At 34.7% G+C, this 27,477-nt stretch overlaps 1 protein-coding gene across 13 annotated transcripts in view, besides 2 other annotated features; it reads right to left on the bottom strand.

Annotated features, from left to right (window-relative positions):
- The window catches only part of MIPOL1 (mirror-image polydactyly 1), a 354,425-nt gene that overhangs the window by 293,793 nt on the left and 33,155 nt on the right, over positions 1 to 27,477 (bottom strand). For 11 of the 13 annotated variants that reach the window (NM_001195296.2, NM_001195297.2, NM_138731.7 and 8 more), the window contains 2 exons: positions 11,329 to 11,466; positions 10,662 to 10,740 (listed from right to left, as the gene is read on the bottom strand). The exons of the other annotated variants lie outside the window; for them this stretch is intronic. In NM_001195296.2, the coding sequence (NP_001182225.1) occupies positions 10,662 to 10,680 (19 nt within the window). In that variant the 5' untranslated portion in view covers positions 10,681 to 10,740; positions 11,329 to 11,466. The remainder of the gene's footprint in view (positions 1 to 10,661; positions 10,741 to 11,328; positions 11,467 to 27,477) is intronic. 13 annotated transcript variants of the gene reach the window in all.
- Positions 426 to 1,434: an enhancer, noted in NCBI's record as "VISTA enhancer hs593". NCBI's record gives its function as "enhancer in: midbrain (mesencephalon)[3/3]" and the evidence as "EXISTENCE:transgenic organism evidence [ECO:0001131][PMID:17130149]".
- Positions 19,160 to 19,336: a silencer, noted in NCBI's record as "fragment chr14:37708438-37708614 (GRCh37/hg19 assembly coordinates)". NCBI's record gives its function as "represses an EF-1alpha promoter that drives an FKBP-Casp9 reporter gene in an ReSE screen in K562 erythroleukemia cells {active_cell/tissue: K562}" and the evidence as "EXISTENCE:reporter gene assay evidence [ECO:0000049][PMID:32094911]".

Here is a 27,477-nt window from a genome sequence, read left to right as displayed (position 1 = left end):
TATTATTTAGGCTGAAATGATTGTGAAAACTATCCTAAAATTTGATTAACATAACTCTTTTTGTTGTTCCCCAGTGATATGAGCTATTTGGCTATTTGTAATATATTTGTAACCTTTTCAGCCTTTCTCAAAATTTCTTATTATTAGAATAATTTGTATAAGTTAATTAAAAACACGAGTGAACTGGAAAAGTCCTGGAAATTTCTACAACTGCAATAAAATAGGTTTAATAATTATGTATTTTTTGTTTGTTAAGAATGAAGACATACCAATTGTGAATTCAACAATTTCATAAATAATCTATAAAAGATAAATTTTCCAATAATAAAGAGGAAAAAACAAACTTTCTTTATATGTGCCACTCATTTTGTTTAAGAATATATTTAGATTTGGAAAACAAAATAGAAGAATCACCAGTCAGATACTAAGCGGGAATCACTGAAACACAATGTTAGTTCTAATGGATGGATGATTGTGTTTGGTCTTTTGAAACTTTGAAGTATAGGTAAGTCTTGATCACACAAATTAATAAATCCTAAAGCTGGAGTTAACAATAACCATTACACCCAAATTCTGCAGCTTAGCCAAGCCAATTTTTCAAAAGGTCAGGTTGTGAACTGGAGAAGATCAGGGAGGTCCACCGCATAGCTTTGTTGCCAGGCATCTCTCGTCTGGATTGTTGCAGGCATTTATTAGTATTCGTCAGCAGACTCAACAAAGCAAACAAGAAATTCAAGCACGAATAATAAAATGAAATGCTGCTATATAACCCTTTGTCATTCAGCAAATATGGGACTTTTTAGCTACATTGTTCCTAAACCTGGGTTACTACTTTAATTTTTCTCCACAGCGCTGACTGAATGAGTATGCATGTGTGTTAAATGCAGAGCTCCCCTAACAACTGCAGGACTGCCATTTAATCTGTTGGTAGATGGACCATTTCCTGTGGGAACCCTAGCTATGATTTCCAGATCCACCAAATAAATCTCAGATTAAGATTCCAAATGAAACCTGCCTTTGGCAGATAAAAAATGTCAAGATGGATATAAACAGTAAAATTATAAATTATCTAGGTGTTGCATAACAAACCAATGCTCAATTTTTTTTGTTGACATGTGCCCAGATATCAAAACTATATGAGACATTCATCAAATGTCACACTTTCATAATATTGGAGGCATCATTAAAACTGTTTGACTAAGGACCTCAAAGTGTTTAAGCAGTAGCTCAAAAGTATATTTGTGCAAAGTAGAAGAATAAATTTACATATCAGCAGCACCTCATAAGGGATGGGTAAATATTCTGTTTATCTCTCATTGTAATTCAGGTTACTTTAAATACAAGGTTTTAGGAAATCATTATACTCTATATGGCATCATTACATAACTTTCTATGTAAATGATATATTTTATTCAAATTCCCCATTTGTTTCTCAAACACACACACACACACACACACACACACACACACACAAAACAAAACCAAAAAACCCAAAAAACAAAAAGAAAAACATGAAAGGAAAAGGTAAGACTGCTATTTCATTAATCAACTGTAACTGCTAAACTAGTCCCTTGTTAGTTACACTACAGCATCATCAGCCCCTTGTTAGAGTTAGCATTTTAAACTTTTCAAAAAAGCATTAAGTACTTGAAACAAAAAAATAAAGCCTCAGAAAAGTAAATTTGTTTTTTGGTAATGTGTTCATTTCAAATGACTTGGGGGAGGGGCAGAGACTTTTTAAAAAAATAATAAAGGGTCAATATAGAACATCATGGAAAGCAAAAGTCCTATTAAAAATGCAGAGGAAGTCTCTGATGCTGGTTTCTACTGCATTCTCAAGAGATCAAAGACTGCTTTTTTAACGAAAAAAATTTTTTGTCATCTTCTTACCTGGGCTAGTGCAGCCTTGTCCTAATCTTTAACTCTATACTGGTTGATTATAAAATATAAGCAATGAAGTTTTCCAAAAGGAAACAGATTTGCTGAACTGTAATCATTACTTTTTTTAACTTTAAACTCTTAAAAGCAATTGAGTAAAATAGCTTCAGTGACTCCAAATTTGCAACATTTGGTTTTTTGATAAACATTTAAAAATCATCTGATCTACTTAAAATAGAAATTCTTTCAAATTATAACTTCTTTCCACTTTTATAATAATTCATGGAAAGGACACAGAATATCCATACTCCATATTCCAAATCTTAGGATTTGTACACAGGCCTGAAACCTTAAGGACTACATATTTGTTCTGTCTTCCCTTATCATATTTCTTTCTTCCAAAACTTGTTGTTGGTTCAAGGAAACTAATGCTAAATGAACCATACCTACCCTAATCTGCTAGGGATTAATATTAATCTGAAAATTTTGAATTTTCTGGAGTGGGGAGAACATTAATTAAAGAAAGAAATAATGGTATCTTGTGCTTGAATGTGATTATATTTCTATACTAAAACTGTTCACATCAATGAACATTGTTTGTTAACTGTGTTAATTTTACAGTGTATCAAATTATCTTGGTACAGACAGCAAAACTGTATTTAAAAGGAGCATTTAATTGTTAATTTTTAAAATATTGAGTAGCAAAAACATTGTTTCTACACAAGTATAATTTTATCAATACAAATCCATCAGTTTGTATTGTTCACCCATCAGCATCCTAATATTATAGTACTAAATGGTTATATGTAAAAACTAGAATCTGTCAAAAGATAAATATAAAAGTTTAAATACAATTTTTGAAAATAATCACTTTTTAGTTTGCATCTTTTCAACACAATTTTACCATATGGCAAAGTATTATCAATTTCATCCAAAAGCTACAGATAAGAATATTTTTAATTCAATCATTTACACTATAGTCTACTTAATTTCAAAATTTTGAAGCCTGACTTGCTCTAAATTTGTTTTTTCATATTCCCTAAAATAAGCAGAACACAAAGAAAAACTGTATCTGAAATTATCCCAAAAAGATAATAACGTCCTACATGACAGGTTGTTTTGATTCGAATAAAACCAAAACACTAAAAGTTGAAGTATTTGGTGAACTCCTCCAAAAGATTTTTATTCTACTACTACAAATTTATTTACATCCAAAGAGTACTAAGTAAATGTACATAAAATATATAATTTTATCATTTAAGAAACTTTTTAAAAATGTATTTAAAATACCTTTAAGTCCAGGAAGTCACATTAGTCCTACCCTATAGTCAACCTGGACCAACCTTCTAAAGGGCCTTCAATTCAGTCTACATACCAATGTATATTGATCCAGGTCTCCTAAATCAACAAAATGCCAATGCACACTCAGACCTTTATATTAATCATACTACGGAGGCCACACAGTCATCTGAAATATGACAAGCTGAAATTCTCATGTGTAGAAAATTAAAGATTCAGTAATATTACGTTAAGCTGCATGTTGTAAATATGTGTTACAAGAGGTGTTCTGGCATGAAAGGCCATAACCAGAAATAAATGAGGATTTTTAGCAAAGATTTGTTCAGAACCTTAAGCATGGAGAATTTAAAACAAAGCAAAAATCTTTTGACAAAATCAAGTCATTGTTTTCTATTTCAAAGAAAAAAATCTTGTTTTCATGACCACAAATAAATTTGAAAGAATTTGCATATTTAAAGTAGAGTTTGTATTTCCTTAACCTAAAGAAACAGACTCACAAGTTCTACAAAGAGGATCATACCAACAGAATAGAAACGGGGGAGAAAAGGTCCTATTAAAAGGGAAATTTACCATTTTTCATGCTCATTCTTCCTAGAAACGATCATTTGTATAAAATGCAGGAACCAAAGATGTAAGAATTCTGCATGAAGAGTACAGTGTGAACTGATTTAAAACATTATAAATTAGTAAAAACAGAAAAAAGAGAAAGAAATAAAGAGAAAGAAGAAATCCTATTAGCTCACGAATTTTCCCCCTACTAAGAATTTATGGATTAGTTCACTGGTTGTAACAAATGTACAACTGTGGTAGAGAATAGGCAGAGACAGAGGTTGGGTGTTTGTGGGGGTAGGGATGTATGGGAACACTCTGTACTTTCAACTCAATTTTACTGTAAATCTAAAACTGTTCTGAAAGATAAACTCTATTTTTTAAACTGCCAAAACATAATTTAAAAAATAATTTGTGGCATAAACTCACCAACATGAACTATTCATATTAGAAATTATGAATCTTAAAAGGGTTCACAACAAATGTCATAACCAGTTAGAAAACTAAGTTGCCCTTGTAAACATTTTTTGTTTTTTCATTCCATTTTTCTACTCAGTCCAAGAGTATTAACAGAATCATTCACATCAAGCTTAAAAAATAAAGAATTCCAGAATCGTATTTAATAAACTTATTTATATTAAAGGAAATTTTTTAAAATAAAAGACTATAACCTCAATCATTCTTCTAAGAGTAGCCTCAGCATCTCCTCAGGAAATGAATCAATCCTTGCTGGCCAGCTGCCAGTATTCCTAAAACCACTCTCTCAAATATTCTAGATGGTCATGTGTGAGAAGCTACTAGCACTCTATTAAGCTAGGTCCTATGGAGATAAGTAGTAAATTTAATCAGATCTCAGACATGTTCTTCTTTTAACCCCCAATGGCACATGGAAAATTTTTTAAATGCAATCTTAAATCCATACTTGCCAAAAGGAAAAGACACATAAAAATACTCTGTGATGCCACTAATCTGGAGATTTTTATTGCAACTGGAATTTCAATACAGACGAAAATAGATTTTATCCTAAATTAATATTATTAATTATATACTATAGTCTATCAAATATACTAACTATAAGCATACCATTTTGAAAATTAAAGTTCCAGTGATATTCTGAACATTGTATTGGAAGAAAATAGACTTCCTAAAATACTATTACAATCATTTCAAATACTGTTATTAAGGATTCATAATACTTTTGAAACTCAGTAGAATGTACCTTCCATAGCTAGAAGGAATAAGAAAGACAATCACCACGATTTACTTAAAAGTCCTCTAAATTTGTCAACCACCTTTGTTTTAATTTTTTTTATTTTATGTATTTATTTATTTATTTTAGCATCTGTAACCTACCACCATCACACTGGTGGAAAGAATTACTCTGGTATGTGAAATACAGATTAAATAAATTCATTTCCTGTTTCAGACATTGTAGTAGGGACTTTACATATAGCATTCCTCATCTTCGCAATGGTCCTAAATAGATTATCTCTCTATTTCATATAAAAGAAAACTCAAGCTTACAAAGATTTATGAAACTTGTACCCAAATCCAAGTAGGTAGTAAGTGAAAGATTTAAAAATTAAAACTTATGTTTAGCTCCAAACCTGTGTTCTTTCCACCATAACATTTTACTGACATTATTAAAAGTATTGGTTTTCCAACACAGTCTTCTTTCTACTTTAAAATATAGGCAATAAGCTAAAACCACTAACTATATTTCTTCTTCATGAAAAATATACCATTACTTACTAGAAAGCCAATTATTAAAATTTAAGTCCTGTAATTTAATACAGAATGATTAGTTATCTAGACATTTTCAAAACCTTTAATTTCAAGGAGTATATAATCATAATGTCTAGGAAATAGCTTTTTTTCTACCAGCTTATCTTGCTGGTAGCAATGAATGTCCATTCTAAGCAATTTGTCATTTCCTTCTTCTCCGCCTTAAACATAAAATAGTTTATAAAAGTGATATGAGATTCTACAATCATATTTTAGTCATAATGATCAACAACATTTAAAAGCATCAATTATGTTTTCCTACAGTGGTTCTTCAGTGTCTACACTTACAAATTGTCTGCAAATCATGGAATAGTTTTAGTTATAATTCAATTACAGAATTGCAGACAGACAAAAGGTAAAACAGAATATGTACTTTGTGAACAGAGAGAAAGATAAATGAATCAATAATACAAGAGGTTGATGGTGGCACACAGGTTCAAAATGCCAAGGACAAATAAACATTATTCTGACTCAACAAGAAACTACCAAACCACTTGCAAGTTACCTTTCATTAAGTTTCATTTATTTAAAAAAAATTTGTGTTACTGTGTTTTATAGAAAAACCGTAAGAATCATGGATACAAATGATACTTGCCAGTCCAATTCTAAAATAAGGAAGAAGACAACTGTTTTTTACTTAAATTCAGTAGGATAAAAAATTGTTAAATATTTACTAGCCTCCAATAAACTGAAAAATGTAAGAATTCTATTTACACAGCCATTCTATAAGTGCTTTTTCACCTTATTTCAAATAAGTACAATGATTCCTGATTTAGAATCATGATCATGTTTTAAGCTTAAAGATAAATTAAAAATATGTAATCTATATCTAAATTTAGATAATACATAAATAAAAATAACTACTTGTGTGTAAAATATATATTACATATGATGATCCCCCCAAATAATAAACCTAAAAACAATATTGAACAAACTCATTAAATTGAAAGGTTTTGGTCAAAAGCTTCTTCAAGGTATAATTCTCATCATTTCTTACCTTAAATTGGTAAAAAATATATATATATTTACAATATAGCAGATTTAATATTTAATTTTGGTAGGCACAGTAACCTTTTGTAACCTTTCTTAGGGAACACTGACCCCTAAAGGTTCTAAATTTAAATAAGTTTCACAATTTTCTAAATTTAACTGGTATCCAGATCTCATTTTTACCTACAAAATTGCAAGTATGTATACTTAGGGCAGACATATTTACCTGTAAATATGTAAACTATTTGCAAAGAATTGTTGTATGCTATAAAACTACTTAACCATGTATCTGCTAATAAAAATAAACATTAATTTAAGAAATGATCAGGAATTTATAACAGTATTCCAAATAATTATTCATATAAGATTTACGATCTCTATGTCTTTTTTCTTACATAGTTATGTATATAAGTAAGTACAAAAAAGGGCTAAACAACAATAATTTAACAACTCATTATTTCAGAGGGTATAAACTCCTTTGATTATGACATTTCATTTTTTCCTTTTTTTTTTTCAAAAGAGAACCCTTAAATAGAAGTTTTCACAAAAACGCAAAACATCACTTACCCCTTAAAAGGCCTGAAGATGGTAACACATTTTTTGCTGGCAATATATGTTTATTCACACACACATTGTTTTTATCAACTTACAAACTACATTCATTCAGGACTGTTTTTTTAACTCCTTAAAGAAACTTGGGGGCTAGATACAGTTGTTTTCGCCTGTCATCCCAGGGCTTTGGGAGTCTGAGGCAGGAGAATTGCTCGAGGCTAGGAGTTTGGGAACAGCCTGGACAACATAGTGAGACCCCCCAACCCCTACAAACCATTTTTAAAAAAATTAGCCAGATACAGTGACTCATGCCTGTAGTCCAAGCTACTCAGGAGGCTGAGGAAGGAGGACTGCTTGAGCCCAGTAATTCATGGTTACAGTGGGCCATGATCATACCACTGCACTCCAGCAAGGATGACAGAGTGAGACTCTGTCTTTAAAAAATATACATATAAAAAAAAACTTGGGTTTATTTTGTAGATGTCATCACCCAGCCCATCTACCAACCTCAGCTTTCCATTTTCCAAAATGTCTACAATGACAAAAACAAAGAAAAACATAAATGGTTCTATATGTTACATTATCAATCTTATCAACTCTTTGACTTAAAATATTTCAGAAGCGTTTCTACAGTAAAGCTAGGAAAAAAATGGTCACTTCAGCACTCTTTAAAATGAAATTTGTAAGATGAAATAAAGGCATATCTGTGTAATACAAGTTTTAATTAACTTAATTTCTTTTAAAATTAGTAAAATTATACTAAATAAAATAACTATTCAAAGGAACCGACTAGGAACATTTATGTAAGATAGCGCTTTGAAGCAATTTGTGATTTAAGATAAATCCCATGAACCCTGCCATCAGGGAGATGACGATGTGAGATTTTACTGTTTAAACATATCTGTTATCCCAAGACTTGAAAGTTAAAATATTTATGTTTAATTTTATTTCCTAATATTATTTAATTTATTGAGACAGTCTCCCTCTGTTGCCCAGACTGGAGTGTGATGGCATGATCTCTGCTCACTACAACCTCCGCCACTGGAGTTCAAGTGATTCTCCTGCCTCAGACTACCGAGTAGCTGGGATTACAGGTGTGCCCAAAACACCCAGCTAATTTGTGTATTTTTAGTAGAGACAGGATTTCACCATGTTGGTCAGGCTGGCCTCGAACTCCTGACCTCAAGTGACCCACCTGCCTTCGCCTCTCAAAGTGCTGGGATTACAGGCATAAGCCACCGCATCTGACCTTTTTCCTAATAATGTTTAATAATGGATCCTTATAAAAGGGAATGTCTTATTCCTCTTTCCAATGTCAAAAAGATGCCTGTAAAAATGTAGATTTTCCTAATGCTGTATCAGTCATGTCTGCTGTAAACTGTCTATGCATCTATATAGTTTACTGTGCCTACTGTAAACTGTCTATGCATCTGTATCTTCAACCATAAAACTTTCCTTTTCATAAGTATCCCAGAGCTTCATCAGCTCCTTCCTTGACATCCTTCCTGATTACTGGACATTTATCAGTAGTACTTCCTCTACAGTCTCTATCTCTTTAGATATATTAAAAATAACTCCTTTGACTCCTTAAAGATCGTTTGGTCTCTAATTTTAATATAACTCTTACAGCAATATGATGTGTGAATGAGAAACACAACAGATGCATCATTATTTGCTTCCTTTTTGTTTTTTTTTAACATCAATTGAGTAAAATGCTTTTGAGCTCTTTAAAAGAAGAGTATCTGCTTACTTACTTGAATAAATGAATAAACACAGCTATAACAAATTAGTTCCTAACTTCATACCAATACATTCTTATCCACAACTTGAATATATAGAGCACACCAAAATTAAGTGTCACATAATATACGCACTATTAACTTTGCACAAAAAACCTTGAACTATCTTACCCAGATATTATATATGATTGTTTTATATAGAATTACATCAGCTATCTGGATTCTAAACTCATAATAAGCAGCCCAGAGTGACAAATAAAAAGAGAAATTACTAATGGTGGGTGCAAAAACAGCAAGAAAATTTGTTAACAGTATAAAAATCAAAAACAAAATCCAGAAATCAGAAAAAGGCACTCAGATCTTTCTATAACTCAAAAGAATGTATAATTGTTAACTTATTCAGTACAATGATTATAGAACGGTCCTCAAAAATGGACTTTAACCTTCAAAAAAGGATAAAAATGTGGCAGGACTATGCTGAACAGGAGCCCTGTTGGGGGAAGGGGAACCAAAAAAGGAAGAGATGCACACAGTGTTTTAATAAGAATCCTATTTTTTAAATTATAATACAAGAGGAAATTTTAAAAGATGTACATAAAGGTTTAAGTTTTCAAATATATGTAATATCACATTCAGAAAGAATCATTTCCCAAGGATTCCAAATTTTCAACATTTTACTGTAATAGATCTTAAATATCTCTTGCCCCCTCCCTTATGTCTGCTGCTCTTATCTATCTGACTGTCCGTCCATCCATCTACCCATCCATCCATCCATCCATCCATCCATCCATCCATCCATCCTTCCATTTGTTTTTCAGGCCATATCTCAGTCTGTCTCTGTCTTCAGACAGTCTTTCCAATTCTATCTGTCTCTGACTGTTCTCTGCCTCTCAGGCTGTGTTCCTCCACACGTGCATACCTGTGAGTCTCTTCTTCTCTGTCTCATATATGTGTCTTAATTTATTTTTCAATGTATGTATCTTCTGATCTATGTCTTTCTCCTCTGTCTGCATATATACATGTCTGTCTCTCATTCTCTCTACTCTCTCTCCTTACTTTAGGTGTGTCTGTTTCTCTGGTGGATTTTTCTTTTTCACTCTGGCATTTCTCTCTCTGTGTGAGGAGAGAGAGAGATATATATATAGATATAGATATAGATATCTGTATCTTGTCTCTTTCGCTATATGTCTGAAAGAGCCATATCTTGTCTCTTTCACTATATGTGTCTCTTGTCTGTATGTACATCTCTTTCTCTGTATCTGTCCGCATGCCTGTGTCTCTATCACTCTCAATGTGTCTCTTTTTTTTCTCTGTCCCTCACTATACATCTGTCTCTTTCTTACCAAGTCTCTTACTGCGGTATCTCTCTTTCTCTATGAGTCTCTGTGTATGCTTCTCTTTCTGTGTGCCTCCAGGTGTGTGTCAGTGCCTCTATGTGTTTCCCTCTTCAAGTATCTTCCTTCCTGTGTCTCTTTCTCTGAGGATCTCCTTCTCTATGTGTTTTCTTTCTCTGAATGTGGCTCTGTACATCTCTGTCACAGTCATTCTGTCTCCTCTGTCTCTTTGTATGTAGGCGTGTTTCTATTTCCTGGTGTGTCTTTTTTTTTCTCCCTCTCTCAATGTCTTTTCTGTGTCTCCTCTGTGTGCATGTGTGTGTCCCTTTCTCTCTGTGTGTATGTCTCTTTTCTCTGTGTGTCTTTCTTTGTATCTCTTTCATAATCCCTGGGTCTCTGTGTGCATGTTTTGTGTGTGTGTGTGCGCACTTGTCTACCTCTGTCTAATATATTGGTTAGAACAAACACACTTCACTCAGTGCCTTGAACTAGAACAACACCTGGGGCTTGGTATTAATACCTTAAAAGTCCTTACCTTTTGACCAGTTCTCCATTTGTATTTCTGTTCTTGTTTGCTCTGGCAATGTCTCTGGTTTTTGCTCCAAGATTTGCAGCTAAAATAAAGCCAACTCTAGATAAATAAACTGAAAACAATATATCAGAACACACCTAAATCTTACCTTTGTTTAACAGAGAATTTACAGGATAAATGGTTTTCTAAAACATTTACAATGGGACAATTAACTGAGAATTTCAACAGGAGAAATTAAATCTTTTTCTCAGAAAAAGGTTCTTTTCTTCACACTTGTATTTTAGTATATACAGTTCAGGTTAAGTTTTTTAGACATTCATGCTGATTTGGGTAGAGAACCATTTAATTTATTTAACTGAAATCTTCTTCAACTACAATTTTAAGCATTTAAGAAAAATACATTTTTACTTTATTTGTCATAAATTTTATACCAAAAATTTCAAATTTACTGATTTGAATTTACTGTGTATATATTCATATAGATTACTTTAATAAATTTTACTTATAAAAGTAATTTAAGAATATTACTCTAATTTTAAAAAACATAAAGACCACCACTAACTTGTGGAATTAATGATACTCCTCTCTCTTATTTGTTTTTGTAGTAAACATGATAAAACACTATGCAAGTTTTTTTTTATGCTTTTAAGGAGAATAAAATTAGATTTACCTCACAGATAGAACCCAGCGTTCTTTAAAAAGTCCTCAAATAAAGCTGTAGTAAGCTTCTCCTTTTCCAATTTTCTCTAAATATGTTGATTTGGAATTGGCAATCTTTTTCTAAGTTTCTCATTTACTTTTGGATTAGCTGAAAATATAGGAAGTTATTAATATCAAAGAAATATGTTCCAGTCAATGAAGCCATTTCCCTACATATTGCCCAAAAAGGTTAATAATAATTGCAGTATTTTAATAAGAGATTCATATACCAAGACATGTAGAAAATACAGTCTTTAATAACCTCTGGAGTATTTTAAAACATGTCTTACAGGCCTTAATGTGCTTAGTAATATACTATTTAAAACCATAATTTTATCCCTCTGCAATATACAGTCACTCTTCCTCATCATTTACCCAGCTAATGAATGCCAGCAATTAGTAAAATGTAATCCCATTGCACAATCATTTTAATGCTTTTAGCACTCAGAAAAGTAAACACCAAATTAATACTGCTCAAGCCATATCAGATCCTAGTTGGAAGCAAGCAATTATAGTTCAGCTCCTCAGGTGTAATTAAATGATTGGAATGATTTAGTTCCATAAATGCAAGTTAATTCATAAGCAAGCAACAAATATACTGGGAGTAATTACAAGAAACATTGACAGTCTAAGCAGGGCAAATTCTTTTGTAAGACTGATGTAGTAAAATGCTGCCCTCTCCTGGGCATTTAAGGGAATAACTCAGAGCCAAACAAAAAAATTCCACAAAACCCAAGTTTTAGAAAGCCTCTAGACAAAATAACCAATATACCAATTTGATTCCATGACTTATAACAAAAATCTAAATTAATACCTATATTATGATAATTTATGGACACTGAGATAATTAATGATTTGTCCAATAAAGCTCTGAGTCCCAAACTACATCTATTTCATATAGGTGATTTCTACACTTTTAATGAAATAAAATAATGCTTATGGCAGACTGCAAGTGAAACTTCTAGTACCCAACGAGACTGCCAGTCAACACCTCTGTTCTCTTAATGGCAAAGCGTAACTTGGCTGTTATGGATAATAACTAAACTATGCTTTTATATGTAGTAAAATATGCATGGAAAATGTAAAACAAAATATTCAATACTGTTATGACTTTAAATAATGATCTAAAATTAATTTTTTAATAAACTTCAATAACCAAAACAAAAACCTGAGTACTATCATAACTGTCATTATAGGCATATTTCAAAATGTAAAGACTAACAAGTACTACACAAAAATGCATCCTGTTTTAGGTCATTCCCAACATTTTACCTTCTTAGGCTAAAATTCAGGACAAATGTACTTATATACTAACTACTCAAGTGGTCCTTAACTTTTCACAACTAACTTTCAGAAGCTTATTTATTATACTCTTAAGTTATGCTATAACCAAAAAGCCTGTGTTAAAAATATGTATTAGTAGCCTTAAACCCAAACAGTATCATCCCATTGCCTTTCTGTAATTTGAACATCTTCTCTGATAAAATATTGCAATTAGCACAATAAATGTTTACTTCTTCAAAAAATGCAAATGGTCCTTGGCAGAAGATAATGCTTAACACTACACCAATATTTTTGGAGACGAAGAGAGTAATAAATTAATGTCCTTTAAATTTGCTTTTAAATGCATTAAAATAACCACATTCTAAGTCATAACCAGCACAAACCATAAAAATAAAATAAATCAAAATATTAAAAAGTCCTGTCACTAAGTTTAAAATGTACAGCACATTTGCTTTGCCCTTGATGTCACAGTCTTATTTTTCAATTCATATCTTGTACACTGTAAGTTAATTGCTTTTGGAAAGTACTTATTATTCATGTAAAAATTAATGTGCCAATGTGTTTAAATCCTCTTAAATGACCATTCATGCATCTTTCTTCTTTAAGTACCAATGAAATCTGTCAAAAGACATCAATGCAAAATGGTCTTAAAGGAAAGTTCTAATAGAGAATTTTTTTTCTGCTAACACAAGATTTTCATATTCACCAACTTTACTTAAATTCCATTAATTTTTTAAGCTACTTTTAATAAATTCACCAAGTAAAATTTTTAGGCCCCATAGTCTGTCATTTGTGTTCCAGCTGACATTATGAATATTAATAACAGTGTTATCCTGATTAAATAGGCTTCATATGAAATCCCTGTGAATCCTATAGCTCAGACATCTCATTTTTCCAACTCTTTATGAATTTGGATTCAGACATTAAACTGGAAAAATCTTAAAAAACAGATTTAGTGGCACATTTGCATATTCTTCAGCAAAAATTAGATGTTTTAATGTTTCAAACAATTAAAACATATCTACATATAATAGGAGAAGATTTCTGTAAAGATGCAACATATTTATACTTCTTTTTTAGGACAAAGGATTAAGACTAATAAAATACTAATTTCTGTCCTTACCTTAAAGATTTGATATCAAGAATTTGTTTTCAGTCAAAAATTATATATTCACATTAAAACTAGTGGGATGATTTTACAGTAGACAATCAGATAAATTGGGTTTCTTAATCCAAATGCTAACATTACATTAAAGACAAAACATATAAAGATTACGTTATTACTAATCTACACCAGGTTCAAGAAGCAAAGTAAAATCAATTTGCAACTAAAGTTTGTTTATAAGTTGTGATGGAAAAAATCACCTATTTAAAAAAAAAAAACTCTACTATAACCAACAGAGGATATATGAGCAGCTGTTAAAATATTCTCCATAATAAATTCCTAGCCTCATTCCTCCAAGCTATTTTTAATTCTGAAAAATTTTCAGTATATAAAAAAGGAAGTGGCGGGGCATGGTGGCTCACGCCTGTAATCCCAGCACTTTGGGAGGCCAAGGCTGGCGGATCACAAGGTCAGGCGATCAAGACCATCCTGGCCAACATGGTGAAACCCCGTCTCTACTAAAAATAAAAAAAAATTAGCCTGGCTTGGTGGTGTGCACCTGTAGTCCCCAGCTACTCGGGAGGCTGAGGCAGGAGAATTGCTTGAACCCGAGAGGCGGAGACTGCAGTGAGTCAAGATTGTGCCACTGCACTCCATCCTGGTGACAGAGTGAGACCCTGTCTCACAAAAAAAAAAAAAAAAAAAAAAAAAAAAAAAAGGAAGTGAGTCTTACATGGAAGAAAAGAAAAATAAATAATAATTAAGCAAACTGCACACCCTTCTCTCTCTCTAGGTACATAGGAATCTCAATATATCTGATAAAGTTTCCTACATGCACTCACCAAAAAAAAGAAGGTTGAAAAAATTTAAACAAATATCCCTATGCTCTCAAATGTGACTTGACTCTCCTATTTACTCAGCATTAAAACACTTCATGAAACAAAATTTGTTCTTTGACCAGTCTGAAATTTCTAATCTGCCTAAAAAATTGTAAGTAATTCTGACATTTACCCTTTAAAATTAAATAATGCCTTTTTGACAGAGAAGCATTTAAAAATGGGATTTCATTCCCCAATGTAACAGTATCCAGGATTTTAAAAAACATTTTAAATAGGAGATGCTCTTCCTACCTTCCTCCACAAAAGCCACACTTTAGCAAACGTTTTCAGCTGACTTTGGTTTATGCCATATTTTTCATATTTTCTTAGCTTAATCACAAATTTGTGTAAATTGAATCCAAGTATCAAACTAGAGATCATTTACAATACTTCATTTTATCCAACTGTAATTTTAGAAAAACTCTGAATTTTGTATTTTCTAGCTTGAGAAATGTTGATAATTTCTGCATTAAAATAGTTTCATAAAAAGGAAAGCACGCTATTTCAGAGAGCCAAATATTTTATCACACAACACAATATAAGCACATGTCTTACTATTGGATTTTCATCTTATTATACAAAAGACTCAAACATTTATAGCCCCTGACACGTTCTCTTCCCAAAAGAATCTCTTTCACCCAGTGTGCCTACTGCTTACCAAGCTCCAGATAACTCAAGTTCCTCAGAGCTATGAAAAGCAAGAAGAGGTTCAGGAAGAAAGGATAAGGGATAATAGTGGCCCTGTACCACAGCTATACAAATTTAAAAGGCATATATTTAAATTATTTGACCCCACAGTTCCATTACTAAAAATATTTACAAAAATATGTAAGATATTTTTATGTACAAAGATATTCATTACAGCAGTTTTTATTTGTAAGAACAAATACTTATGCTCCAGTCATGCTGGTCTTCTTTCTGTTCTTCGAACACACCAAGCTTATTCTTGCCTCAGAGCTTTTATCTTGCTATTATACTCTATGCCTAGAATTCTCTCTTCTAGATCTCTAAGCCATTTCTCTCATTATGCACGCCTTGCTCAAAAGTCATCTCTTAATAAAGGTTTTGCCTGGCCATCCCATCTAAAGTAGAAACTCTTTTCTCATCACATTACCTGCACTACTGCCTTCATGAAACTGATCTGTTTAGATTTTATTTCATTGTTTTTGATATATCTCAGTAACTTACATGTAAACAGGGCCCTTGATTTTTCTCCCCCATCTCTCTATCCTTAGAAGAGTATCTGGCATAAAATATGGACTCAGTAAACATTTGATGAACAGACAGGTGGATGGACAGGTGGAGGGACATGACTAGCAAGAAACTAGAACTAACATAAATGTCCGTCAATAGAGAACTGGTATAAATAAAATGTGGCTCAACCATATGGAAAACCTATATGGTTTATATCATAAATGCAAGAGATCTATATATACTATGTGTATACTATGAGCCAGACAATATTATAGGAGTTAGATATAAAATGGTGAATAAGACAAATAGATTTCCTATACAAATATATCCTCGGTCAAAACAATACAGGCACAAAGTATGGATAAATTAAAAACAGAAAAATTATACTCACATATATATACATGCTTGAATAGGCACATTATTTTTTTACAGAAGTATACATAAGAAACTATTACCAGTGGTTAGTCTGAAGAAAGGGCCTATGAGTTGGGGTGGGGAGACAGAGAGAATGAGGGAAAGAAACATTTATATTTCATTTTATATTTATAGGTATAATTTGGTTTTTTAATTGGGTGCATGTATTACTTCTAATTTAATAATTAAATATTTACAAATAATATGGAATTTAATAGGAAACCTTGAAGGACATTACATTACCACCGAGAGGCCCAAAATGAATAGAAAGACAGTGATCTTCATGACACCCTTGAAACTTTGAAAAAACTATTATTGCCTAATTAATCTTTTATAATTATACTTTGTTATGATTGATTGACTGCTTGCTTGCTGGCGTGTTTGCTTGGATTAACTAGACTAAAAAGTTCAAAATAAACTAATACATATGGCAAGAATGTCTTGGAATAGAGAAGTTCAAAATGTAAGAAAGAGTTTCTGAGAATTAAACAAATGTTTCTAAAAATCACATTTCTTAGTTCAGTTAGGGACTATTTACAATTGTCTCAGAATTCAGGAGTCTAAATTCAGGGTTCTAAAGTTTAAAAAATTTATAATGAAAATAAATTGTTTTGTATTATTACATTTTATGTCTATCACAGATAGTTCCCCTTTATGCTTCAGTGTTCAAAAAATTACCATGAAAAAAGACTAATTACATCCCATCATTGAAGGTCAATGTAACGGTTTCCGCCCACCTCCCCACCCCCACCCCCTCACCCCCACACCCTGCCGCACCCGTAATAGAGACCAGTCCTCACTATCTTGCCCAGGCTGGTCTCAAACTTCTGGACTCAAGCGATTCTCCCACCTCGGCCTCCCAAAGTGCTGGGATTATAGGCATGAGTCACTGAACCTAGCCTAATTTTATGTGTCAACCTGACTAGGCCATGGGCTGGCCAGATATTTACAAGCATTATTCTAGGTGTGTCTGTGAGGTTGTTTCTGGATGAGATTAACATTTGAATCAGTGTACTGGGGAAAGTGGACTGCCCTCCCTAATGTAGGTGGGCCATTTAATCATTCAAGGTCCTGAATAGAACAAAAAGACTGACCTCTAGAAAGCAAGAGGGATCTCCTTTTGCCTTACTGCCTTCAGCTGGGACATCAGTCCTTTACTGCCTTCAGACTATGAAATATTCACTCTTTTGGGGCTCAAGCTCAGTAGTCGTTAAACTGGAAATATACCATCAGCTCTCCTAGATCTCAGGCCTTCGAACTGGCACCAGAATTGCGCTACTGGCTCTCCAGGGTCATCAGCTTTCTGACTGCAGATCTTGGGACTTGTTAGCCTCCACAATCACATAGGTCAATTCTTATAATAAACCTGTGTGTGTGTGTGTGTGTGTGTGTGTGTATGTGTGTGTGTGTCACCTACTGGTAGTTTCTCTAAAAACTAACCATAAAAGGACATCAAATTAAGAGGAAATTAATACTTGGTGCTTCAAATATATGGCTTCCACATTTTCAAAATTTGGAGGGTAAGACAATACACTATTTTGAATACTGCAGTAGTCTTTAGTGCCAGCTGCAAATGACACTTTGAGAATGAATATGGCACTGCAAAGCCTACTGATAAAAAGCAAAATTGTAAAACTAGTATTATTTTCAGAAGGTAATCGCATACCAGGATTTTCTAAAATATCCTGAAACGTTTTGCCCTAAGCAAAACTAAACTAAATCACTTAATCTAGCACAGAGCAGAATATAAAAACAAAGTCATCTTACAGAATAGTTTCTCCAAGGAACAAATAGCCTGTTTTCTTAAGATCCTTGTGGGTGCCAAGTTCTGACGCACTGATACACTCCTTCATACAAAGGTTTACATTTCCATACAGCCACCTGAAGTTCCTGGCAAATCAAAGCTGAAAATGTATTAGAGTAAGCTAAATTTATCTATAATGACAACTGTGATAAGTAGCCACTTGAAATCAAACAAAAGAATAGCTATCAGAAAATGTCTTTCAAAAATAAAGTTAAAAATAATCATTTAGGTCTTTAATTCATCATATATTATAATGCTTACTAACAGATTTTTCTCAAATTGAACAAAAACCATTTAGCGATTTTCCATATTTTCTGTAGTTTAACAATAAATACTAACAAAGAAGACCTTAACAAACAGAGGCATATACGGAAGAATAAATATATCCTAATAACAAGCCATACTTTGAGTTTTAAACATGTAATGACAATTTTATAATTGAGCCATAATTGCACACTACACTCCAGCCTGGGCGACAGAGTAAGACATGTCTCAAAGAAACACCAAAAAATACAATATTTATCTATGTAATTTGCTAAAATTACTGTAGTAATCAATCCCAAAGGACAGTGCTGCATGCAACCTACGTACTTCATTTTTAAAAACTGTAATATTAAAGTCAGCTTACAGGTTATAGAATACAATTACTAGAAGTGAAGATTTTAAAGATAGTAAAATAAATTAGACTTATAGTTCCAATTTCTTGTTCATTATCAAGAATGTCACAGCCTCCTCCATTAATTTTTCTGAGAAACTACAAAAGCTGATTTAATTTCTTGAGTCATTCTTAATAAATGTTTTCATTAATGAAAAGCATGTAGTAAAAATATGATCCCAAAACAGATGTTCCATAACATGGGATAAAAATGCATTATGAAAAGAAAAAATAAAACAAGCTGAACTATACATACAAATTTCCTTGAAGAAACAATTAGTTTTATTCTTCCTGCAACTTAAAATTATAATTTCAACTATAAATTTTATGTAAGTGTTGTACTCTTTTTTTTACCACATTATAGTTTCTTAGGATCCAGAAATATATGTTCAACTACAAATTTGTTTCTGAAGACACATTTTTTTAAAAGCTATCTCAAAATGACAAATCAACTGAGCTAAAAATATTATCTATAAAATTAATACTAATACAGTTGCACAGTGTTTCTGTCCAAGTATTAAGTAAATTAAGCAGGCCAGGCGCGGTGGCTCACGCCTGTAATCCCAGCACTTTGGGAGGCTGAGGTGGGTGGATCACAAGGTCAGGAGATCGAGACCATCCTGGCTAACATGGTGAAACTCCGTCTCTACTAAAAATACAAAAAATTAGCTGGGCATGGTGGTGGGCACCTGTAGTCCCAGCTGCTCAGGAGGCTGAGGCAGGAGAAAGGTGTGAACCTGGGAGGCAGAGTTTGCAGTGAGCCGAGCGCCACTGCACTCCAGCCTGGGCAACAGAGTCAGACTCCATCTCAAAAAAAAAAAAAAAAAAATTAAGCAATGTATGCTACTTTTGAAAGACTTCCCAAAAGACACTGATGACTTTTCATTTTTCATTAAAAAATAAATATATATATTACTTTTTTTTTGAGACTGGGTCTCATTCTGTTGCCCAGGCTGCAGAGCAGTGATGTGATCTTGGCTCACTGCAACCTCCAGCTCCCATGCTCAAGCAATACCCCTGCCTTGGCCTCCTGAGTAGCTGCACCACTGGTATGAGCCGTCACACCCATCTAATTTTTTTTTTTTTTTTTTGTAGAAGTGGGGTTTCACCGTGTTGCCCAGACTGGTCTTGAACTCCTAGGCTCAAGCGATCACCAGAGTCCACCTTCCGAAGTGTTGGGATTACAGGCGTGAGCCACTGCACCCGGCCCTGAATAGCACTTCTTTCAAGAAAGTTTCATCTCTATGATGTGGTGATTTATATAACATAATCATGATTACTACCTGCAAAATGGCTGTATGACTAACCTGACATTTTATATTATTAATTAGTTAAGAAAATCTTCTCTCAAATTCAAATAAAATGAAGGGAAACCAAAACTGAATATTTATCCTGTCATAACTATTAAAACTATTACAAAAAGACAAACATTATATGCCTCCTGAGGGAAGTTTGTTTCACTAATAAGTATTATCCTGGGGTGAGAATGGGAGCTGGGGGGAAAAGAGCAGGATTCACAGGACAGGTAGAATATGGGATATATATGAAACAAGATTAACTAACACAAACCATGAAGGATAACTGTCAAACTTGGGTAATACATACATAGGCATTGTGATTCTATTTCTCTATTTTTGTGTATGTTTGCAATCGTTTATAACAAACAGTTAAAACATGTATTGCAAAATAAAAGAGAATATACAGCATTTACTTTCTTGTAAAATTCATTGAATAATTATTTCACAGAAGGGAGAAGATAGTGTTTGCCTGTAACTCTCAGCTGCTTTGGCGACCAAGGAAGGAGGATCACTTGAGTCCAAGAGTTCAAGGTTACAATGAGCTATGATCGCGCTATTGTACTCCAGCCTGGGTAATAGACTGAGACTCTGTGTCTAAGAGAAGAAAAAAATTTCAAAATTTCAAAAAAAACAAGCTCAAAACGAAGAAAGGGAAATGTTCACATACCAAAACAAACCATAACAGTCAGTGAGCAGGACTTAACCAAGCAGTCCACGAGAATATGGAGACCAAACTGGCTCAAGGGTTAGAGTTCAACTACACAGATTCTCTCCTTCCTTAAACAGCAATCACATATCTCTGAGCACCTGCACAGTGTCTTAGCCAGACACAAACCACCCACCAAGTTGGGTGCAAAAGTTAACTACTTAAGATCAAAACTTCAAGGTGGCATGATCATTTAAGGTCAGGAGTTGAAGACCAGCCTGAGCAACACAAGACCCAGCCTCTACAAACAACAACAATAAAACTTTTTTTAAAAAGTCAAAGGGGGAGATGTTAGCAAAATAGTGGACTAGAAAAATGTATGCTCTTGTTATCCCAGAGAGAATTTTTTAAAAAACCAAAGCAGAAACTGTCTGAACCAACTTTGCTGGCTGGAGCTATAGAAAATAGTCAAAGGTTTACAGCAACCAAAAAAAAACATCAAATCAAGAAAAAGTCATCTTCAAAATGATAGCACAGTATTATATGGCTTTATTCACTTGCTCTTCCCCCATCCCCTACCTGGTGCAGTGGGAGTCTTGTACTTGAAGCAGTTCCCTCCCTCTAACTAGAGGGAGCAGAGTAGATCTGATAGACAAATTGTTGTGCATGTCTGTGCTGACCTGTCTAGGGGATATTTAAGGACTGACACAAGGCACTCCTCTGTTTCACCTAGCTCAGAACTCAGGTAGGAAAAGTGGCAGGTACTGCTTGTACAGGCTGCAAAGTGACAACAGATCCACAGAGACCCAGGCCAAGAAATGACTGGGGAAGACATATGACAGACCATCTATGGCCTGAAAGAGAAGCTGGAGCAAGACTTTCTGGGAAATTAACACGTGACCACATGACAAGCAGCCAAGTATACCAGGGAATCTAGAAAGCCCGCACATGCCCAGGCAAGAGGCATTCCCAGAAAAGACCTGAGATCTTAAACTTTCACCTCAGGATGATCCCCTGGATCAGATTAAGCCTAACTAAGGGCTAAAGGAGTGTCCCAGCACAAAGCAATTTGCAAAGACTGAAAGAGGCCTTGGCATTCAAGAAAAACTCTATAAACACATTAGCTGAACATGAGCTAAAGGAACAGCTGTCACTGATCACACACAACAAGGAACAGAGTGCACAAATAATTTGGAGGCCAGGCGTGGTAGCTCACACCTGTGATCCCAGCACTTTGGGAGGCCGAGGCAGATAGATCACCTGAGGTCAGGAGTTCAAGACCAGCCTGCCCAACATAGAGAAACCCCGTCTCTACTAAAAATACAAAAAATTAGCCAAGCATGGTGGGGCATGCCTGTAGTCCCAGCTACTCAGGAGGCTGAGGCAGGAGAATCGCTTGAACCCGGGAGGCAGAGGCTGCAGTGAGCCGAGATTGCACCAATGCACTCCAGCCTGGGCGACAAGGGTCTCAAAAATAATAATAATAATAATTTAGAAAAGCCTCAAAAGAAACACACTACTACAGCCTTCAATAGACAAAAAAAGTGGGAGGGGGGCTTGATTAGACATTTCTCCAAAGAAGACATACAAATGGCTAATACACACATGAAAAGATGCTCAACATCATGAGCTATTAGAGAAATCTATGTTAAAACCACAATGACATATGACTCATACCCAGCAAGATGACTATTATCAAAAAATTGAGGCCAGGCGCGTAATCCTAGTGTCTGTAATCCTAGCAGTTTGGGAGGCCAAGGTGGGTGGATTGCCTGAGCTCAGGAGTTCGAGACCAGCCTAAGCAACACAGTGAAACCCTGTCTCTACTAAAATACAAAAATTAGCTGGGCATGGTGGCATGCGCCTGTAATCCCAGCTACTCAGGAGGCTGAGACAGGAGAATCATTTGAACCCGGGAGGCGGAGGTTGCAGTGAGCCGAGATCGTGCCACTGCACTCTAGCCTAGGTGACAGAGCAAGAGTTCGTCTCAAAAAAAAAAAAAAATTGAAAATACTAAGCATTGGTAAGGTCATGGAGAAACTGGAACCCTTGTGTATTGCTGGTAGGAACGTAAAATGATACAAAAGGACAACTACTTTATGATTCCACTTATATGAGGTCCCTAGAATAGGCAGATTCATAGAGATAGAAAGTAGAATAGAGGTTATCAGGAGCCAGGGGAGGGGCAATATGGAGATACTGCTTAATGGGTACAGAGTTTCTGCTTGAGATGATGAAAAGTTCTGGAAGTTACTAACAGTAACGTTTCTACAACATTGTGAATCTACTTAATGCCACTGAACTATCCACTTAAGACGGTAAAATTTATGTTATGTACATTTTATGATACACATACACACAAACAAGAATGAATCCTACCTGTGATTAATAAATAGTCCTCTAACAGTTAGAGGACTATTATTATAAGAATTAGAGTCTAACTATACCACACACCCATACAAAGTCAATAGTAATTCCTTGAAGATGGGCTCAAACCTATGGTTCTTGACCTGTATGTCAAGGATTCCCTAACACTGCAGCAAACACAGAGGGATTAAATATTTTAAATTTTCAAGAGAAGCAATGACATCTGTTGAACACTATGTGAACTACTAGTTCAAGAAGGTTCACTGTTGGATCATTAGATCTCACTACATTGTATTCAATGAATTCATATCTTTACAAATCTGGATTTACAGCACTTACTGGGATAAAAAGCAAGTAGCATGCAAAAATCAGTATGGAACAAGAGAGAACAATAGCTCAGAAGCAGCATAAAAATATTAAGACACTAAGGGCATCATGAAAAAAAGTTTGGGAACATAGGCTTTAAGAATTCAGCTGGCTGGGCACAATGGCTCACGCCTGTAATCCCAGCACTTTGGGAGGCCAAGGCAGGCGGATCACAAGGTCAGGAGATCAAGACCATCCTGGCTAACACGGTGAAACCCTGTCTCTATGAAAAATACAAAAAAAAAAAAAAAAAAAAAATTAGCCGTACGTGGTGGTGGGCGCCTGCAGTCCCAGCTACTCGGGAGGCTGAGGCAGGAGAATGGCCTGAACCCATGAGGCGGAGTTTGCATGGAGTCGAGATCGTGCCGCTACACTCCAGCCTGGGTGACAGAGTGAGACTCCGTTTCAAAAAAAAAAAAGAATTCAGCTAAGTGGACCACATTAGACCTCTATCAGTACTGCAGGGACCAATAAATGAGTAGTAACTAGAATGGAAGCCTACTATATTTTAGGCTTTGCTAACACTTTAACAAAAGCAACTGTCAGGAATTAAATTAAAGGTTTGGGTCCAGGTGTGGTGCCTCATGCCTGTAATACCAGCACTCTGGGAGGCTAAGACAGGAGAATTACTTGAGGCCAGGAGTTAAAGAGCTGCCTGGGTAACATAGCCAGACCTCATCTCTACAAAAAATTTAAAAATTAAAAATTAAGGCAAAGCATGGTGGCTCATGCCTGTAATACCAGCACGTTGAGATGCCAAGGTGGGTGGATCACTTGAGCCTAGGAGTTCGAGGCCAGCCAGGGCAATACAGCAAGATCCCACCTGAAAAAAAAAAAAAGAAAAGAAAAGAAAAGAAAAAAAGAAGGGACCAGACAATATTGAAGATGAAGCTCACTGCAGCAGATTGTTCACCTCTATTTTCAAGAAAAAAAAAAATTGTCGTGACCATGCCCTAACTGAACAGGACCAATGATTAACAGCAGAAACAATAACTAACACCACAGACGTCTCAATGGAATCAGCTTACACAATTCTGATTGAAGAATAAACCTGAGCAAACTTTCTACCCGATGGGTGCCAAAACCATTGTACCCAGATCAGCTGCAGACAACAGCAGAGCTTTCAATGGAAATTTTAAATAAGTAGGATCAAGATCCTGAAGCATTTCTTTGAAGACTGTAACAGAGATAAACATGGTTTTATACCAGTATGATCCTGAAGACCAAGTCCAACCAAAGCAATGGCTACCAAAAAGTGAAAGTGGTCCAGTCAAAGCAAAAGTGGACTGGTCAAGAGCAAAGGCCATGGCAACAGTTTTTTAAGATGTTCGAGGCATTTTGATTGTTGACTTTCTAGAAGGCCAAAGAATGATAACATCTGCTTATTATGAAAGTGTTTTGAGAAAGTTAGCTAAAGCTTTAGCAGAAAAATGCCTAGAAAAGCTTCACCAGAGAGGCCTCCTCCCCCACAGCAATGCTCCTGCTCATTCCTCTCATCAAACAAGGGCAATTTTGTGAGAGTTCTGATGGGAAATCATTAAGTATTCACCTTATAGTCCTGATTTGGCTCCTTCTGACTTCTTTGTGTTTCCTAATCTTAAAAAATCTGTAAAAGGCATTCATTTTTCGTCAGCTAATGATGTAAAAATGACCGCACTGACATGGTTAAATTCCTAGGACCCTCAGTTCTTTAGGGATGGACTAAATGGCTGGTATCATTACCAACAAAAGTGTCCTGAACTTGATGACACTTATGTTGAGAAATAAAGTTTATATTTTTTATCTTTTAATTCCATTTTTCCATAAACTTTTTGAAGCCTCCACATATAGAATAAACTTTTTGAAAAAGTTAAAGGTTTCTGAAAAAATATGAAAGTTAAATACAGCCAACTGACTTCTTCTTGGGGCCAATTTATATTTAAATTGCACTCAGGCCACAAGTACCTGATGTTAACCTAACCTTTGTAGTGTCTGTATTACAAACACTGGCCCCAACAATCAAAGAATGACTGGAAATTTTAGGGAGTATTGAATTACTGAATCAAGCCCAAATGGTGTTTTCAGTAGCATTTCATCACAATAAAATACACGTGTTACCCCAAATAGTGACACTAGAGGGTGCTCTCTTCCAAAAGACTGGTCAAGACTGGCATCAATTTAAAAAGATGAAGCCATACATGCATGGAGTGGATGCCTCACTAAGCTGATGAAACAGTATACACCTCAGCTACACTGGAGAAGACTTATATACTCACTTAGGATGACTACTGAATAGTTTAATCACTGTATAATCTGGGAATTTTAGAGTGGCCAGATTTTAATCTTTCTGCCTTGGCAGCATGATATAGCAATGGGATTGCAGGTTCATTAAAAGAAGTAAATGAAAATCAAATTTGCTTGATCTCCAGAATTAGAAAATATGTTGGCAGGCTGATTTAAAGGCCCCAACTGACATGATACTTATGAAAAATTGAGGAAAAAAAGTGAATTTGGTCTTAGAAAAGTGACACATGCAAGTAAATGCCTCCATCAATACTATAAAAAGGTACAAGTATTGCTGAAAGAGAAGAACAAATAATAGTCAAAATGGTAAGAGGATATTAAAAGGTACAAGTATGTGTTGACAGAAGAGGAAAAAGAATAGTCAGAAGGGTAAGATGACATTAGAAGACTTGTGAAGAGATATAGTTGCAATTTCCATTTTCCCATTGGATGGCTCAAGTCCTGGTGATCATTGGAATACTAGTATGTTTCTCCTTTTATATAAAATATTGAGAAAAAATGTGAGACAAATTATAAAAAGATGACTGAACATGTGTAGCAAGATACTAATAAGGGACAGAGAGTACACTGTGAAGAAAACAGTTAAGCTGATCTATACCTTAACCAAAACTCCTTATAAACCCTGATGTATAAAATTTATTAGCTGAGTGATAATTCTTCAATTAGTAACTTCTTTTATAACTTCTATTTTCTAGGTATTACTTGTATTCACAGTGTGTCTTTATAACATTGTATACTATAAAACAGTATACATTAGGTACACTGCAGAAGTCAAGCATGATTTATATGCCAAACAATAATAAAATATTTTTTATTTTTTATTTTAATTTTTTTTAGAGACAGTGTTTGGCTCTGTCATCCAGGCTGGAGTGCAGTGGTGTGGTCATAGCTCACTGCAGCCTCAAATTCCTGGGCTCAAGTGATCCTCCCACCTCAGCCTCCTGAGTAGCTTAGACTACAGGCACATACCACCATATCCGGCTACTTTTGTAAAATTTTTTGTAGAGATACGATCTCCCTATGTTGCCCAGGCTGTTCTTTAACTCCTGGCCTCAAACGAGGCTCCCACCTCAGCCTCCTAAAGTGCTAGGATAACAGGTGCGAGCCACTACTCCCGGCCTGTAGGGCTTTTATTCAGTTTTCTCACACCTCTTTGATAGTAATTTTTTTTTAGTGATTAACCTTTACTGATTGTTCCAAAACATTCATCTTAGTTTTCCTAGAGAGAATGCTTTTTATAATGAAATTTCCATTAGCTTACTTTAATATAATTATATAATTATGATCACAGATACAATTAGCATAAACAGGTTTGAGAACAAACACACCTGATACTACTTTTTAAGTAGAGAAATCAACTGGTAAATGCAGAAGTATCTACAAGACATTCATCTATTAGCCTTAGTATCAAGCACACCATAGAAATCAGTCAGTATGTTAATATCAGTGGGAATGCAGAACTTCCATTATTTTGGCAAATCATTGAGTGCAAGCCATTTAAAATAATTTCAACTGTATATTGAAAATATTAGCTGGGCACAGTGGCTCATGCCTGTAATCCCAGCACTTTGGAAGGCCAAAGCAGGAGTCCTGCTTGAGGCCAGGAGTTTGAGACCAGCCTGGGAAACACAGGGAGAATCCATCTCTATGAAAAATAAAAACATTAGCTGGGCATGGTGGTGAGTGCCTGTAGTCCTAATTACTCCAGAGGCTAAGGTGGGAGGATCGCTTGAAACCAGGAGTTTGAGGCTGCAGTGATCACACCACTGCACTCCAGCCTGGGCGATACAGCAAGACCTTGTCTCAAAAATAATAATAATAATACT

The sequence above is a fragment of the Homo sapiens genome, chromosome 14, assembly GCF_000001405.40.
Source record: "Homo sapiens chromosome 14, GRCh38.p14 Primary Assembly".
NCBI lineage: Eukaryota > Metazoa > Chordata > Mammalia > Primates > Hominidae > Homo > Homo sapiens.
Note: the sequence above shows the minus strand (reverse complement) of the source record. Positions and strands in the feature narration are given on the sequence as shown.